At 51.5% G+C, this 18,149-nt stretch overlaps 2 long non-coding RNA genes across 2 annotated transcripts; one reads left to right on the forward strand and one right to left on the reverse strand.

Annotated features, from left to right (window-relative positions):
• Positions 1 to 1,870: 1,870 nt before the first annotated feature.
• Positions 1,871 to 8,825, reverse strand: FAM225B (family with sequence similarity 225 member B). Its single transcript, NR_024376.1, has 3 exons — positions 8,558 to 8,825; positions 8,058 to 8,164; positions 1,871 to 7,301 (listed from the first exon to the last, which is right to left on the reverse strand). It is a non-coding gene; the product is annotated as a family with sequence similarity 225 member B (long non-coding RNA).
• Positions 8,826 to 10,043: 1,218 nt separating this feature from the next.
• Positions 10,044 to 16,994, forward strand: FAM225A (family with sequence similarity 225 member A). The gene is made up of 3 exons (NR_024366.1): positions 10,044 to 10,311; positions 10,705 to 10,811; positions 11,568 to 16,994. It is a non-coding gene; the product is annotated as a family with sequence similarity 225 member A (long non-coding RNA).
• Positions 16,995 to 18,149: the final 1,155 nt, after the last annotated feature.

The raw sequence follows: 18,149 nt of genomic DNA on the forward strand, positions 1-18,149 counted from the left end.
AAATGTAATCATTAAAAATAATTTTCCAGCACCCGCCACATTGACATATAGAACCCATTCTAGCTCATTCATAGCCCACAATAGCAACTAGGAATTATCTGTTGTATCCCAGGCAATGCTGTGAAAACTATAAGCAAGACCCCCTTCCTGGATACATCTGGGACTCCGTTGCTCCCCTCCAAGGTTTGATCAGAGAGAGTGGTAGTGAATACACTTCTATCCCATACCTTTCCTCTTCTATTTCTCTCTGCTACTGAGACTTAGCCCAAGAACCAGAATGGCTTTTAACCTGTTTTCTGATTGATAAGAACTGCCGCTATTGATATTCTTTCTTCTATGTGTGCAGTGGGGTAAGAAATAGGCAAGAGAACCATGAAAACAAAGTAAGATTTCAAAGCACAGGAAACACATCAGGTTAAATTTCAATTTTTTTTCAGCCCAGTAAGAACAGAAATATAGTGATTAATAGTGAATCAATGGGTCTCTTATAAGCCAATGTATAAGATTTTATTCATAGGATTATAGGAATCCACTGATGGAAATAATATGACTTGTACTTTTAGACTAAATGTATATCTGGCTTTATTCTTGGCCCACACTGCCTGAAGAATTAAGTACAACATTAATGTCAGTTCCTTAAGAAGGGTCTGTAGAAATTAGATGATGACACAGAATACATGCAGTATCTCCCTTTAAACTTCCCCCAAAGTTCTAAGTCATAGGAAAAAATAGCTTCTACTCTCTCAATTCTTATTGTAAGAATTCTTACTGTTACATGTAAGAATGTAAGAGACCTTGGGTCCTAGGACAATGCCTGGAAAATAAGATCATGGAAAGAACAATGGCCAATTGAGAGTAAATTAAACCCAGAGCAGACAGGACAGGCACAGGAAGCACACCATCCCATCCAATCACTCCCTCAAAGCCAGGTACAGAACGCAGGCCTGCAGTCTCCATCAAGTGTCATGTTTTTTTGTTTGTTTGTTTGTTTGTTCATGGAGCATACAAAACTTGAATATCTAACTACCATTTAACTTTTTATCCCATTAAAAATAAAGGGTTTTTTTGTTTTGTTTTTTGGAGATAGGGTCTCCCTCTATGCCGTCAATGTTTTTAGAGCCTTCCACGTGGTTCTGATGACGCAGGCTCCAATTTGAGGAGGCTGAGGAAGGATGCTTAGACGGGGATGAGGGAGGAACTGCATTTACAGGAGGTCATAAGCATCCGAAGACAAGTCTCTATAGCAGGATATATTTATTTTCTTTTTGCTTCTAATTTTGAAATAAAACTACTTCTTTCTTTTTTTTTTAAGATGGAATTTCGCTCTTATTGCCCAGGCTGGAGTGCAACAGCGCTATCTTGGCTCACTGCAACCTCCACCTCCCAGGTTCAAGCGATTCTCCTGCCTCAGCCTCCCAAGTAGCTGGGATTATGGGTGCCCGCCCCATGCTCATCTAATGTTTTTTGTATTTTCAATAAAGATGGGGTTTCACCATGTTGACCAGGCTGTTCTCCAACTCCTGAACTCAGGTGATCTACCTGCCTCGGCCTCCCAAAGTGCTTGGATTACACGCGTGAGCCACTGTGCCCAGCCAAAATAAGACCATTTTTATGTGTATATAATAATGCATAAAAAACAAATTTTTAGGAAAAATATGCTATTTTCTTGTGTGCACATATTTTATCCTAAAGATATCTTACCCAAAATCCCAATTCAAAAACTAAATCCCTACAGAAAAACTGAAGCATTCTCCATCATTCCTGTTGAGGAAATGTTATTAATACCCATATTATCTTTGTTATTTTTAAACCATAGTATTTTGCAGAGAACCTGATTATATCCCTTAACCCTTAACTGAGAACAAAAATATTAATTTTAAATGTTCATTACACATTTCTTTTGAAATTTTCAATGGCATAGTGCATTATTAATCTGCATAATATTTCACAATGGTAGTATCTATGCACACAATAATATACACAGAAACATGTTGGAGGTGTGTGTTCACATTTTTGGAAATGGACAGAACAAAGGGGAAGAAGCCTGCACTTCAATACTCACTCAGGGCAGAGACAGGCCCCTCTAGGGCTGAATTTGAGGTCAGCACCATGTGCAAAGCTGATCTGGGCCTGCTGCAGAAAAGATGCATGTACACCACCTGTCCTCACTTTCCTCCTGTCCTCTGTGAAAGGGACAGGAGAATAACAGTCCCTTACCTGCCACTTAGCAGCTGCGGCCCTTGGGCAAGTAAATCTCTTTCCTCCTCTGAGCCTCCCACTTTCCCAAGGTTCTGAGCTACAGAGAGAGGCTAGACCTGAGGGGGGCAGGGAGACACCTCACCTTCCCATGAAAAGAAGTAGGTATCCGTCACCACCTCCCTCAGCATACAGTTAGCCCGTTTTCCAAACTGCCATGATCTATTTCACAGCTCAGTTTAGTGGGGGAAGAACAGGACTGTGCTGGGGCTCCTGGCTAGACCCCAGCTCTGCCTTTTGCTGCAAGCAAGGCCTTGGCCAGGACACAGCCCCTGTGTCCCCAGGTTTTCTCCTCTGTCATATGGGAATGATCCGATAGGGTTATAGGGATGATTAGACTGAACAACAGCAAGGGTATAAAATTGTGCCCAGCATAAGCAATCAGTGGTGTAATAGGTCAGGAGAAGGTGACCTGCAGGGCTCAGCGGTGATCGGGAGAGGTGATCACAATCAGCAGCTGGAGAGAGCCTCCAGGTCTTGGGAAACACTGCATTTCGACACAGGCAGTTTCACAGCATATTCAATTTCAGACACCATACACACCACATGCTTAGGATACCCGGACTTTATGTTGGTGTATTATTCTTTGCAGAAAGCATTTTAGTTTTAGTTTAGGTTTTGTTTTAAAGCCGGACCTGAGAATTAGAAGACAATCCTGGGAAACGTTCAGGCCTCTGCAGGCTGAGATGGGGCCCAGGACTATATCTCTGAGGAGGAAAGAGGAACCCATTGAATTTTGGGGAGTACAGGGAGCAGAGAGAAATTGCACTGGGTGTGCGTGTGCGTGCGTGCATGTGTGTATGTGCGTACACAAACAGAGGGGCTGGAGGAGGAAATCAGCAAGGCCCAGAGAAGGGTAGAGGATCTCGAGGCCCGAAGGGCTGGTACCGCACTTGGCTGGATGGCAGCACAGTGGCCTGAGGTTCATGGGTCATTTTTGCCCCCTCTCCATGCTCACGGACCCTTCATGACTGTCCACAGCTCTGAGATGTGGGCCTTGCCAGCTAGAACCAGGCATGCTCTCTGCCCATTTCTGAGGCAGTCGTTGGGACTGTGGGGCCGTGGACCCCGCCAGGCTGGCCTGTCCCCGGACACTCAGGATGCACTTCGGCCTCCTGGCTCCTGCAGGCACCTGCACGAGCCTCCTTTTGAAGGTAATTTCAGGAGTTGTTACAGCAACACCTGTGAACTGAGGCGGACGACAGGGCCACCACAGAGGTGACACTGTGTGCAGGGAGGGGAGAGGGGAGCCACCTCTAGCTTTGTTTCCTGTGCCCCCAGGGAGTTGCCACTCATAGTGGGCTCCACCCTCCCCCCACCAACATGTTCCCTATCATCCTCCAACAGCCACTGCCACCGTGCCCAGGGCCATCCGCACCGCTGAGTCCTGCACAGACCAGGGACCATCGGTCACCCCATCACTTTGAGTTTCCTTCTGCCTGGGCCACATCCAGATTCTGGGATGGTTTCCACACTCAGCCTCACTTTGCCTTTGACGCGCTATGGCCTAAATGTCAGTGTCTCCCAAATTTGTATGTTGAAGCCTAATTCCCAATGGGAATTCTACCAATGGGGTAGAATGAACAGGTGGGGCCTTTGGGAATGCCCTGAAACCAGACAGACTTTCTGAATAATCCCCTCCTGAAGGAAGGTAGTGCTCTCATCAAACAGGCTCCAGCAACCTCCCTTGTCCCCTTCGGCCACATGAGGACACAGCTAGAGGCACTGCCCTAAGGAATGGGTCCTCACCAGGCACTGAATCCTCAGGCATCTTGATCTCGGACTTCTCAGCCTTCAGAACTTTGACGACATATTTCGAGCGTCAGTAACTCCCCAGGCTAATGCACTTTGTTAGAGGAGCCCACCGGACTAGGACGGGCCCTCCCTTCTCACCTGACGTCACATCCTCCCAGGATCCGCCCCTCACAAACTCATGCGTTGCGGGAATTCCTCGGGTGAAGGGGCCAGGAGAGGACCCTGTAAACTGCTCACAGGCAATCAGAGGTCCCTTAGAATGGGGAGGACAGCAAGCACGACAGGAATCTATCAACAATGCACGACACACAGGACCCCAGCAGACCCTCACAGAAAAGGATCAAAGAGGGGAGGCAGGAGAGGGGACCCTCCACCACAGTGTGACAGCCTCCCACCCAGAACAGGGCAGTGGCAGAAGACGCAGGGAGAAGAGCCAACAAGAAGAAAGTGAGCCAGAAGATGCACCTCTCAGAGCCCAGAGTGGCTCCTGCTGTGTGCAGAGCCCAGGAACACCAGAAATCAGAGCTGCGTCTATGGTCCAAAGGGACGAGTCAGTCATTGACCACATCCTACATCACAAAACAGGGGACTTTTCTAGAGTGAAGGCAAGGAGAGAACCTATTCACCACCCAAGAATGTATTCACCACCGAGGTGGGGAGCAAATATACAAGATTGGCGGGACTGCCAGGCCCCGCCTTTTCCCACAGAGGAAGAGGATGAAGCCACATTCTGCAGGCTCTAGCAGGCTCCGAAGTTGGGGGCTGTGATCAAGAATAGGAAGGTCACACTCAGAGTTGGAAAGGCCCAGAAAACTAGGAAGTCCCCCCGTCAGCTACTGTGCCCCAGGCCACCCCTGTCCACCCACCCCAGTGCCTCCTGTCCCAGGGAGAAGAGTCTCTGGGTCCAGGACCCGAGGTCTGCAGAGACTCAGGAGACACAGAGTCCAGGGGTTCGCCACAAGCTTCATCCGAGGGTAAAATGCAAACCAGGATGAGGCATTTGATTCAGGGTCCTCCTGCACTGAGAAGAGGAAGGACAAGAAGAGCCATGGCCAAAGCAGGGGGAGTCAGGATGAGGCAGAGGCCCAGCTGCAGGCAGAGCCACCTCTGTGGTCCTAACCCGGGGATGCCAGGTTCCTCCGGCCACCCCCTCCCCATACTCCCCAGCTGGCTTGGGAGGAGGCTTGCCATCACTATCCCGAAATTCTGCTCCAACACTACGCATATAGAGCTTCTGACTCTCTAGAAGCAACGTCTGCATACGCCAAGACAACTTGAATGACCCCCACCTAGCACGGCTCTCTAGTGACGCCCTCTGTCTGGCATCAGCTGGACTTCTGTGTCTCTTCTATCAGCCATGCTGGCTGCTGTCAAGGCAGTGCTTGGGTTTAAGGGATCCCAGGACTTTGTGCTCAGAGCGTGCAGGGCTCCACCTCACCCTTCCTGAGCGCCTGCCTGGGCTGCCCACGCACACCTGCGCTGGGGAGGGGCAGAGGCGGCCACACCCACCCACATCTAACCCTTCCTCTGGGCCAGCTGTTCACAGGCCAATAACTCCAAAATGCCACCCGTTCTTCATACATTTCCAAAAGAAGGAATGAAGAATACGGTGGCATGTTCACAAGCCTTTTTCTTCTGGAGGAAAAACAAAACTTTGACCAATGACACAGATAAACCAAATGTCTGCCCTGCTCCCTGACAATCCTTCACTTTCTGCAACCACGTGCAGAGGTGGGTACGGACAAGGCCACTGAGGCTCCTATGAAAATAAACCTCTCAGTCACCTTGAAAGATGGAGACATGCCATGGAGCTTCCTATTTCACCAAATGTGGAGGGGACGTTTTGGTGTGGCAGATCCTGCATTCCAAGAGTAAAGAAGAAACAGGACCCACTGCTGGGACCCGGGGCCAGCAGCCCCAGGAGTCCCTGGGCATTCAGCTGGAGGTGGCTCCCACTGCATTACCACCCACGGTGCAGCAGCCCCCCCGTTCTTCCCTTCTGTCCATCAGGACCCATGGAACTGGGCACCCGGCTCTGGGGTATGGAGAGCACACAGGAGGCCTGGCTCCTCCTCACCCCTGACTCTACAGAATTGAGTCTCAACTCAAGTCCCACATACAGGTCTTGGCTTTCTTTCCTGTTCCAACCCCAGAGAGGGCACCGATGCCCAGAGTGAGGGGACGGTTACTTGACCTCCAGGTGTGGAGCATCCCTGGCCAGCTGCTGGGAACCCCGCAGACCGAGGGTGTGGCTGGTACAGGGGGAAAGTGAGATCCTCTCCTCCTCTCTCCTGCCAAGAGGGGGCCAAGGAGAGAAGGGCCAGGGAAAGGTCCACTAACAAAACTGAGTGGGGAGGAGGGGTGACAGTCACAGCTTTCTACACGGAATCCTGCATGCCACAGGAAGTGTCCCCACCTGCTTCCATGCTGGGAACACAGTATTAGACCTCGGCACGAGCCACATGTCCCTGCCCACCCCTCGCCCAGAGGGGGATCAGGAACAGGAAGGAGTTTCCAGTGCCATGGACAAGCCCCGGGTGAGCACAGGATGGGGGGTCCTGCTGTGGTGGGTCCTGGGCTGACCGGAGCAGGCCCTAGAAGCAGGCGAGGTGCTGTGCAGTCTGCAGCGTAACTCTGAACTTGACAATGAGGTCTCCCCGCTGAGTGCATACCTTGAGGAAGAGAAGCATCTTTCCATGGAGTCTGCCCCATTGCCTGCCAATGGCATTCGTGCCCATCTAGAGGACCAGCCGCCGCCCCTGCTGGCTGCCAATGTCCTTTCAGGCAAACACGGCACCTTGAGAAAATGAGGCAGAGAGTGAGGGAAGGGTTTGAGTAGGAAAGTCACCAGCTGGTACTGACAAGGACACTGAGGGAACAGTGGTTCCATCTGAGCAGAAGTGTGTGCCAGGGCTTCTCTTGGAGCACAAAGACAATGCTGCAGGGATGGCTTCTGGCCTGGAAACTCCCTTTTTGGAAAGTGACCTGTGGCTCCAGGTAGCTGTTCTGTGTGCGACGGTGCTGAATCTTGTCCTTGTCCTTGGTGGGACCCCCTGTGCTCAGGGTGGAGGAGCTCTCTGTGACCTCCCTGGACCAGGTAGCGCCACGGGAGATCCCCTTCAGGCACTCTTGCACACAGGTCTGCCCCGCCATCTGCAGGAAGCGTGCGGTGTTCCCGGCTCTCCTTAGACACTCTCAGCAGCTGAAGTCACTCCAAGCATCCAAGGGAGGCTTCTCCCTGCACCTCTGGGTCATGTGGTCAAGGCCAATGCAGGGCAGAGGAGTGACCGCTGGAAAAGAAGAGCCCAGATGAAGTGCAGTCACCTACCTGAGGCCGGGCTCCCCTGGAAGTCCCCATGAAGTAAGTCTAGGAAGAAACCACCAGAGGGCCCCTAGATACCCAGTGGGGAGGGAAAGGGCAGTGCGGCTCGTCTTCATGGAGCGATTGCTACAGTGCTGGGATTTCATCACGCCTGCTAGCTTCATTAGTTACTATTCCCATGAAAAAGTAACACAGTAATGCAACATTTTATTTTATTTTATTTTGTTAATTTTTTTTTTGGACGGAATCTTTCTGTGTTGCCCAGGCTGGAGTGCAGTGGCAAGATCTCGGCTCACTGCAACCTCCACCTCCCAGGTTCAAATAATTATCCTGCCTCAGCCTCCCCAGTAGCTGGGATTACAGGCACCCGCCACCATACCTGACCAATTTTTGTATTTTTAGTAGAGACGGGGTTTCACCAGGTTGGCCAGGCTGATCTTGAACCCCTGACCTCAGATGATCTGCCCGCCTTGCCCTCCAAAAGTGCTGAGATTACAGGCGTGAGGCACCATGCCCGGCCTTAATGCAACATTTTAAAAATCAAAATTCATGCTAAATATTCCATTGTGAGCAAAATATCCACATTTTAAATCAAGCCATGGTCAGATCCTGTAACTGCAACACTCTGAGAGTTGTACAAGCGTTGGGCACGATGGGAAACTAAATTTTGGCAAATTCCATTCAACCTATAAAGTTGTCACCAAAGAAAAGGAAAAGTACTCACTTGCGGAATGTTCCAGACAGCTCCCAGGCACACTGCACTGCCAGAGATGGGGGATCTGCTCCCCGAGGACTGGGGCTTTTCCAATGAAGGCCATTTTCCAGTTTCGTCTAAAAGCACAGAAGGACTTCGTGAAATGTTTGGCTTCTTCCTAAGGGAAGGAGGTGCCTACAGCGTTGCCATCACTGCTGCTGGCCACAGGAAGATGCGTACATATCGTCCCGCCCTAAGATCGTGTTTTGAAAGTGGGCGACTTTGGAAATTAACTGAGGCTGTAACCGCAGAGCTGACGGGATGGGGGAGCTGCTCTGATGAGTCTCCAGAGCGGCCCGGTGACCGCAGGAGCTCTGAGTCATCAAAGACCGGGGCCAGGGAGCCTGGAAGAGGAAGGGCCCGCTGCTCCCGGGCCACGCCGGGACACATGAGTTAGGGGCAAAATTTAATGCCGCAACAAAGCGACTCATTTTTTTGGAACTGAGGCTGTTCCAGAACTTCTTACTCACTCTCGGCGCCGCCCCCGCGCTTCCAGGCCCCGGACCCGCCGCAAACACCGCTGGGCTTGGACTCAAACCGCGGTCCGGTCCCACCCGGTCTGGTCCAGTCCCGTTGGAGGCGGCGGTTGGGCTCAGCGCCAGGCGCGCGCCCTCTGCTGGCCGTTGGGAAGCGGCGAGGGAAGCGCTGAGCTCGCGGCCGAGCGGTGGTCGCTCGCCCCCTCGCGGGCTCTCCCGGAATCGCTGACATTCTCCGTCCCTTGCTCTCTGCTCCTGGCTGGGGACGCTCTGCTCCAGCCTTGCCTGCTCCCTTTCCTGGGATACGCCTTGGAGCCATGGCTTAAAAGTAAGGACATCTTCATGCATTTGAGATACCTGAATAGTAGATATCTGAATAGTATCTCCTCTTAGTCAGGCCTGAATACAAAGACCTGCTCCTAGTTCTCTTGGGAAACAGGACATAGTCTCAAAATCCAGAAGACCCAAGACTCCTGTTCCCACCACCACATTCTGCAGGCTTCAACCAGCTGGACATGGAGGGCCATGGTGGTGCGTGAGATAAGATCTCCTGGAGAAACTACTACCCTCCAGCCTTGATCACTATCAGGAAGATGAAAGCAGGAAATCTACTTTGTCCCTGTTTGGGAATCGCTGTCTAAAGGTTCTTCCAAAAATTTGCCCCCATCTGAAGGCAAAGAAATACAGTCTTTGCCTGGGAGGTTTTTAGGGGTGAAATTGAAGTGCTCTTCTTCCACCAGGCGCGATGTATCACGCCTGTAATCCTAGCATTTGGGAGGCTGGAGGTGAGAGAGGTGAGAGGCTGAGGGGGAAGGATCCCTTGAGGCCAAAGTTAGAGACCAGCCTGGGTAACATAACAAGACCCCATCTTAAAAAAAATTACATTACATGAAAATATGGTTTTATTTCCCTTCATGTGACGTTTCCCACAGGAAAACTGTAGAGGAAGTTAAACTTGTGGCTCTTTCTAATCAATTATACAGATGGTTTGCCCAGCTCAAAAAGAAATCGCAACTCTTTTGCCCCGGTTGGCAAATATTAGTACCAAAATCATGGAATTATTTTGACAATATCTTGTACATTATGAGTTACAAAAATGTTTAGAGAGAAGAAAATTTGTATTCCTTGAATGAATATTATTTGTAATATTCTTTGATCTATTACAATGATATAAAATGGCATTTGCTGTTCTTCTGTTTGAACTTATCTTGTGACACTTTCTTCAGAATGGTATTTTGTTAAAACTGGTAGGTATTATAAAAATAAACAGTGACCAGTAGCTTGATTGTATTACAAATTTTTCTTTCATGTAAGAGGTTGGGGCAGGTATTTCTCATCAGGTGACTCACCTGTTTGGCTGTCTCCCAAACAGTGATTTAGAACATGGGTTACCTGGTGTTTTGAGGCTTTGATTACCGTATAACTGATTTTGTAATTGTGGTGCTTAGGTCTATTCCAATCCATGTAAATGGAGCATCCCCAGCCAGGAGCAGAGAGCAAGGGACGGAGAATGTCAGCGATTCCGGGAGAGCCCGCGAGGGGGCGAGCGACCACCGCTCGGCCGCGAGCTCAGCGCTTCCCTCGCCGCTTCCCAACGGCCAGCAGAGGGCGCGCGCCTGGCGCTGAGCCCAACCGCCGCCTCCAACGGGACTGGACCAGACCGGGTGGGACCGGACCGCGGTTTGAGTCCAAGCCCAGCGGTGTTTGCGGCGGGTCCGGGGCCTGGAAGCGCGGGGGCGGCGCCGAGAGTGAGTAAGAAGTTCTGGAACAGCCTCAGTTCCAAAAAAATGAGTCGCTTTGTTGCGGCATTAAATTTTGCCCCTAACTCATGTGTCCCGGCGTGGCCCGGGAGCAGCGGGCCCTTCCTCTTCCAGGCTCCCTGGCCCCGGTCTTTGATGACTCAGAGCTCCTGCGGTCACCGGGCCGCTCTGGAGACTCATCAGAGCAGCTCCCCCATCCCGTCAGCTCTGCGGTTACAGCCTCAGTTAATTTCCAAAGTCGCCCACTTTCAAAACACGATCTTAGGGCGGGACGATATGTACGCATCTTCCTGTGGCCAGCAGCAGTGATGGCAACGCTGTAGGCACCTCCTTCCCTTAGGAAGAAGCCAAACATTTCACGAAGTCCTTCTGTGCTTTTAGACGAAACTGGAAAATGGCCTTCATTGGAAAAGCCCCAGTCCTCGGGGAGCAGATCCCCCATCTCTGGCAGTGCAGTGTGCCTGGGAGCTGTCTGGAACATTCCGCAAGTGAGTACTTTTCCTTTTCTTTGGTGACAACTTTATAGGTTGAATGGAATTTGCCAAAATTTAGTTTCCCATCGTGCCCAACGCTTGTACAACTCTCAGAGTGTTGCAGTTACAGGATCTGACCATGGCTTGATTTAAAATGTGGATATTTTGCTCACAATGGAATATTTAGCATGAATTTTGATTTTTAAAATGTTGCATTAAGGCCGGGCATGGTGCCTCACGCCTGTAATCTCAGCACTTTTGGAGGGCAAGGCGGGCAGATCATCTGAGGTCAGGGGTTCAAGATCAGCCTGGCCAACCTGGTGAAACCCCGTCTCTACTAAAAATACAAAAATTGGTCAGGTATGGTGGCGGGTGCCTGTAATCCCAGCTACTGGGGAGGCTGAGGCAGGATAATTATTTGAACCTGGGAGGTGGAGGTTGCAGTGAGCCGAGATCTTGCCACTGCACTCCAGCCTGGGCAACACAGAAAGATTCCGTCCAAAAAAAAAATTAACAAAATAAAATAAAATAAAATGTTGCATTACTGTGTTACTTTTTCATGGGAATAGTAACTAATGAAGCTAGCAGGCGTGATGAAATCCCAGCACTGTAGCAATCGCTCCATGAAGACGAGCCGCACTGCCCTTTCCCTCCCCACTGGGTATCTAGGGGCCCTCTGGTGGTTTCTTCCTAGACTTACTTCATGGGGACTTCCAGGGGAGCCCGGCCTCAGGTAGGTGACTGCACTTCATCTGGGCTCTTCTTTTCCAGCGGTCACTCCTCTGCCCTGCATTGGCCTTGACCACATGACCCAGAGGTGCAGGGAGAAGCCTCCCTTGGATGCTTGGAGTGACTTCAGCTGCTGAGAGTGTCTAAGGAGAGCCGGGAACACCGCACGCTTCCTGCAGATGGCGGGGCAGACCTGTGTGCAAGAGTGCCTGAAGGGGATCTCCCGTGGCGCTACCTGGTCCAGGGAGGTCACAGAGAGCTCCTCCACCCTGAGCACAGGGGGTCCCACCAAGGACAAGGACAAGATTCAGCACCGTCGCACACAGAACAGCTACCTGGAGCCACAGGTCACTTTCCAAAAAGGGAGTTTCCAGGCCAGAAGCCATCCCTGCAGCATTGTCTTTGTGCTCCAAGAGAAGCCCTGGCACACACTTCTGCTCAGATGGAACCACTGTTCCCTCAGTGTCCTTGTCAGTACCAGCTGGTGACTTTCCTACTCAAACCCTTCCCTCACTCTCTGCCTCATTTTCTCAAGGTGCCGTGTTTGCCTGAAAGGACATTGGCAGCCAGCAGGGGCGGCGGCTGGTCCTCTAGATGGGCACGAATGCCATTGGCAGGCAATGGGGCAGACTCCATGGAAAGATGCTTCTCTTCCTCAAGGTATGCACTCAGCGGGGAGACCTCATTGTCAAGTTCAGAGTTACGCTGCAGACTGCACAGCACCTCGCCTGCTTCTAGGGCCTGCTCCGGTCAGCCCAGGACCCACCACAGCAGGACCCCCCATCCTGTGCTCACCCGGGGCTTGTCCATGGCACTGGAAACTCCTTCCTGTTCCTGATCCCCCTCTGGGCGAGGGGTGGGCAGGGACATGTGGCTCGTGCCGAGGTCTAATACTGTGTTCCCAGCATGGAAGCAGGTGGGGACACTTCCTGTGGCATGCAGGATTCCGTGTAGAAAGCTGTGACTGTCACCCCTCCTCCCCACTCAGTTTTGTTAGTGGACCTTTCCCTGGCCCTTCTCTCCTTGGCCCCCTCTTGGCAGGAGAGAGGAGGAGAGGATCTCACTTTCCCCCTGTACCAGCCACACCCTCGGTCTGCGGGGTTCCCAGCAGCTGGCCAGGGATGCTCCACACCTGGAGGTCAAGTAACCGTCCCCTCACTCTGGGCATCGGTGCCCTCTCTGGGGTTGGAACAGGAAAGAAAGCCAAGACCTGTATGTGGGACTTGAGTTGAGACTCAATTCTGTAGAGTCAGGGGTGAGGAGGAGCCAGGCCTCCTGTGTGCTCTCCATACCCCAGAGCCGGGTGCCCAGTTCCATGGGTCCTGATGGACAGAAGGGAAGAACGGGGGGGCTGCTGCACCGTGGGTGGTAATGCAGTGGGAGCCACCTCCAGCTGAATGCCCAGGGACTCCTGGGGCTGCTGGCCCCGGGTCCCAGCAGTGGGTCCTGTTTCTTCTTTACTCTTGGAATGCAGGATCTGCCACACCAAAACGTCCCCTCCACATTTGGTGAAATAGGAAGCTCCATGGCATGTCTCCATCTTTCAAGGTGACTGAGAGGTTTATTTTCATAGGAGCCTCAGTGGCCTTGTCCGTACCCACCTCTGCACGTGGTTGCAGAAAGTGAAGGATTGTCAGGGAGCAGGGCAGACATTTGGTTTATCTGTGTCATTGGTCAAAGTTTTGTTTTTCCTCCAGAAGAAAAAGGCTTGTGAACATGCCACCGTATTCTTCATTCCTTCTTTTGGAAATGTATGAAGAACGGGTGGCATTTTGGAGTTATTGGCCTGTGAACAGCTGGCCCAGAGGAAGGGTTAGATGTGGGTGGGTGTGGCCGCCTCTGCCCCTCCCCAGCGCAGGTGTGCGTGGGCAGCCCAGGCAGGCGCTCAGGAAGGGTGAGGTGGAGCCCTGCACGCTCTGAGCACAAAGTCCTGGGATCCCTTAAACCCAAGCACTGCCTTGACAGCAGCCAGCATGGCTGATAGAAGAGACACAGAAGTCCAGCTGATGCCAGACAGAGGGCGTCACTAGAGAGCCGTGCTAGGTGGGGGTCATTCAAGTTGTCTTGGCGTATGCAGACGTTGCTTCTAGAGAGTCAGAAGCTCTATATGCGTAGTGTTGGAGCAGAATTTCGGGATAGTGATGGCAAGCCTCCTCCCAAGCCAGCTGGGGAGTATGGGGAGGGGGTGGCCGGAGGAACCTGGCATCCCCGGGTTAGGACCACAGAGGTGGCTCTGCCTGCAGCTGGGCCTCTGCCTCATCCTGACTCCCCCTGCTTTGGCCATGGCTCTTCTTGTCCTTCCTCTTCTCAGTGCAGGAGGACCCTGAATCAAATGCCTCATCCTGGTTTGCATTTTACCCTCGGATGAAGCTTGTGGCGAACCCCTGGACTCTGTGTCTCCTGAGTCTCTGCAGACCTCGGGTCCTGGACCCAGAGACTCTTCTCCCTGGGACAGGAGGCACTGGGGTGGGTGGACAGGGGTGGCCTGGGGCACAGTAGCTGACGGGGGGACTTCCTAGTTTTCTGGGCCTTTCCAACTCTGAGTGTGACCTTCCTATTCTTGATCACAGCCCCCAACTTCGGAGCCTGCTAGAGCCTGCAGAATGTGGCTTCATCCTCTTCCTCTGTGGGAAAAGGCGGGGCCTGGCAGTCCCGCCAATCTTGTATATTTGCTCCCCACCTCGGTGGTGAATACATTCTTGGGTGGTGAATAGGTTCTCTCCTTGCCTTCACTCTAGAAAAGTCCCCTGTTTTGTGATGTAGGATGTGGTCAATGACTGACTCGTCCCTTTGGACCATAGACGCAGCTCTGATTTCTGGTGTTCCTGGGCTCTGCACACAGCAGGAGCCACTCTGGGCTCTGAGAGGTGCATCTTCTGGCTCACTTTCTTCTTGTTGGCTCTTCTCCCTGCGTCTTCTGCCACTGCCCTGTTCTGGGTGGGAGGCTGTCACACTGTGGTGGAGGGTCCCCTCTCCTGCCTCCCCTCTTTGATCCTTTTCTGTGAGGGTCTGCTGGGGTCCTGTGTGTCGTGCATTGTTGATAGATTCCTGTCGTGCTTGCTGTCCTCCCCATTCTAAGGGACCTCTGATTGCCTGTGAGCAGTTTACAGGGTCCTCTCCTGGCCCCTTCACCCGAGGAATTCCCGCAACGCATGAGTTTGTGAGGGGCGGATCCTGGGAGGATGTGACGTCAGGTGAGAAGGGAGGGCCCGTCCTAGTCCGGTGGGCTCCTCTAACAAAGTGCATTAGCCTGGGGAGTTACTGACGCTCGAAATATGTCGTCAAAGTTCTGAAGGCTGAGAAGTCCGAGATCAAGATGCCTGAGGATTCAGTGCCTGGTGAGGACCCATTCCTTAGGGCAGTGCCTCTAGCTGTGTCCTCATGTGGCCGAAGGGGACAAGGGAGGTTGCTGGAGCCTGTTTGATGAGAGCACTACCTTCCTTCAGGAGGGGATTATTCAGAAAGTCTGTCTGGTTTCAGGGCATTCCCAAAGGCCCCACCTGTTCATTCTACCCCATTGGTAGAATTCCCATTGGGAATTAGGCTTCAACATACAAATTTGGGAGACACTGACATTTAGGCCATAGCGCGTCAAAGGCAAAGTGAGGCTGAGTGTGGAAACCATCCCAGAATCTGGATGTGGCCCAGGCAGAAGGAAACTCAAAGTGATGGGGTGACCGATGGTCCCTGGTCTGTGCAGGACTCAGCGGTGCGGATGGCCCTGGGCACGGTGGCAGTGGCTGTTGGAGGATGATAGGGAACATGTTGGTGGGGGGAGGGTGGAGCCCACTATGAGTGGCAACTCCCTGGGGGCACAGGAAACAAAGCTAGAGGTGGCTCCCCTCTCCCCTCCCTGCACACAGTGTCACCTCTGTGGTGGCCCTGTCGTCCGCCTCAGTTCACAGGTGTTGCTGTAACAACTCCTGAAATTACCTTCAAAAGGAGGCTCGTGCAGGTGCCTGCAGGAGCCAGGAGGCCGAAGTGCATCCTGAGTGTCCGGGGACAGGCCAGCCTGGCGGGGTCCACGGCCCCACAGTCCCAACGACTGCCTCAGAAATGGGCAGAGAGCATGCCTGGTTCTAGCTGGCAAGGCCCACATCTCAGAGCTGTGGACAGTCATGAAGGGTCCGTGAGCATGGAGAGGGGGCAAAAATGACCCATGAACCTCAGGCCACTGTGCTGCCATCCAGCCAAGTGCGGTACCAGCCCTTCGGGCCTCGAGATCCTCTACCCTTCTCTGGGCCTTGCTGATTTCCTCCTCCAGCCCCTCTGTTTGTGTACGCACATACACACATGCACGCACGCACACGCACACCCAGTGCAATTTCTCTCTGCTCCCTGTACTCCCCAAAATTCAATGGGTTCCTCTTTCCTCCTCAGAGATATAGTCCTGGGCCCCATCTCAGCCTGCAGAGGCCTGAACGTTTCCCAGGATTGTCTTCTAATTCTCAGGTCCGGCTTTAAAACAAAACCTAAACTAAAACTAAAATGCTTTCTGCAAAGAATAATACACCAACATAAAGTCCGGGTATCCTAAGCATGTGGTGTGTATGGTGTCTGAAATTGAATATGCTGTGAAACTGCCTGTGTCGAAATGCAGTGTTTCCCAAGACCTGGAGGCTCTCTCCAGCTGCTGATTGTGATCACCTCTCCCGATCACCGCTGAGCCCTGCAGGTCACCTTCTCCTGACCTATTACACCACTGATTGCTTATGCTGGGCACAATTTTATACCCTTGCTGTTGTTCAGTCTAATCATCCCTATAACCCTATCGGATCATTCCCATATGACAGAGGAGAAAACCTGGGGACACAGGGGCTGTGTCCTGGCCAAGGCCTTGCTTGCAGCAAAAGGCAGAGCTGGGGTCTAGCCAGGAGCCCCAGCACAGTCCTGTTCTTCCCCCACTAAACTGAGCTGTGAAATAGATCATGGCGGTCTGGAAAACGAGCTAATTCCGTGCCGATGGAGGTGTTGATGGATGTCCACCACTCTCCACTTGGGAGGAGGCCTTAACATCCCCCTCAGGTCTAGCTTCTCTCTGTGACTGAGTACCTTGGGAAAGTGGGCTCAGAGGAGGAAAGGGACTTACTTGCCCAAGGGCCACAGCTGCCAAGTGGCAGGTAAGGGACCGTTATTCTCCTGTCCCTTTCACAGAGGACAGGAGGAAAGTGAGGACAGGTGGGGTACATGAGTTTAGCCTCTTTTCTGCAGCAGGCCCAGATCAGCTTTGCACACGGTTGGTGCTGACCTCAAATGCAGCCCTAGAGGGGCCTATCTCTGCCCTGAGTATTGAGGTGCAGGCTTCTTCCCCTTTGTTCTGTCCATTTCCAAAAATGTGAACACACACCTCCTACATGTTTATATTATTGTGTGCATAGATACTACCATTGTAACATTTTTTGCGGATTAAAAATGCACTATTGTATTGAAAATTTCAAAGGAAATGTGTAATAAAACATTTAAAATTAATATTTGTGTTTTTATTGTCAATGGATATAATCAAATTCTCTGTAAAATATTATGATTTAAAAAGTAATATGAGCCAGGCGTGGTGCCTCACACCTGTAATCCCAACACTTTGGGAGGTGGAGGCGTTTGGATCACCTGAGGTCAGGAGCTCAAGACCAGCCTGGTCAATGTGGTGAAACCCCCGTCTCTACTAAAAATACAAAAAAATTAGCCAGGCCTGATGGCAGGTTTCTGTAATCCCAACTACTCAGGCAGCTGAGGTAGGAGAAACGCTTGAACCCAGAAGGCAGAGGTTGTGGTGCGCCGAGATTGTGCCATTGCACTCTAGCCTAGGCAACAAGAGTGAAATTCCGTCTCCAAACACACATATACACACACACACATACAAACAAAAAATAAAAGGTAATATGGAGATTAATAATGTTTCCTTGACAGGAATGATGGCGAATGCTTCAGTTTTCCTCTAGGCATTTAATTTTTGAATTTCCGCCTTGGGTAAGATATTCTTGGAATAAAGTGTGTGCACACTGGAAAATGGGCTGATTTTTTCTAAAACTAATATGACTATACCCACACAAAAGTGATTTTATTTTGAATTTAAAAGATAAAACAAGAAGTATGTCCTGCTCTAGAGAACTGTGTCAGGTGCTTTCACCGGCTGTAAAGGCAGTTCCTTCCCTCCTTCACCTGAGGATCCTTCCTCGGCCTCCTCAAATCTGAGTCTGCATCATCAGAACCACCTGGGGGGCTCGTGGAAACACGGATCACATGGCCCTCCCCAAGGGTTTCTGAGCGAGCAGGTCTGATGGAGCTGAGTAGTTGCTTTTTCTTTTCTTTTCTTTTCTTTTTTTTTTTTTTTTGAGATAGAGTCTCGCTCTTGCTTTTGTCGCCAGGCTAGAAAGTGGTGCAATCTCGGCTCACTGCAACCTCTGCCTCCTGGGTTCAAGTGATTCTCCTGCCTCAGCCTCCCAAGTAGCTGGGATTACAGGCACCCGTCACCAGGCCCAGCTAATTTTTTTTTTTTTTGTATTTTTAGTAAAGACGGGGTATCACCATGTTGGCCAGTCTGGCCTCGAACTCCGGACCTCAGGTGATCTGCCTGCCTCAGCCTCCCAAAGTGGAGTAGTTGCATTTTAACCAATTCCAGGCAATGCT

This window comes from Homo sapiens, chromosome 9 (assembly GCF_000001405.40).
Source record: "Homo sapiens chromosome 9, GRCh38.p14 Primary Assembly".
NCBI classification, from domain to species: Eukaryota; Metazoa; Chordata; class Mammalia; order Primates; family Hominidae; genus Homo; species Homo sapiens.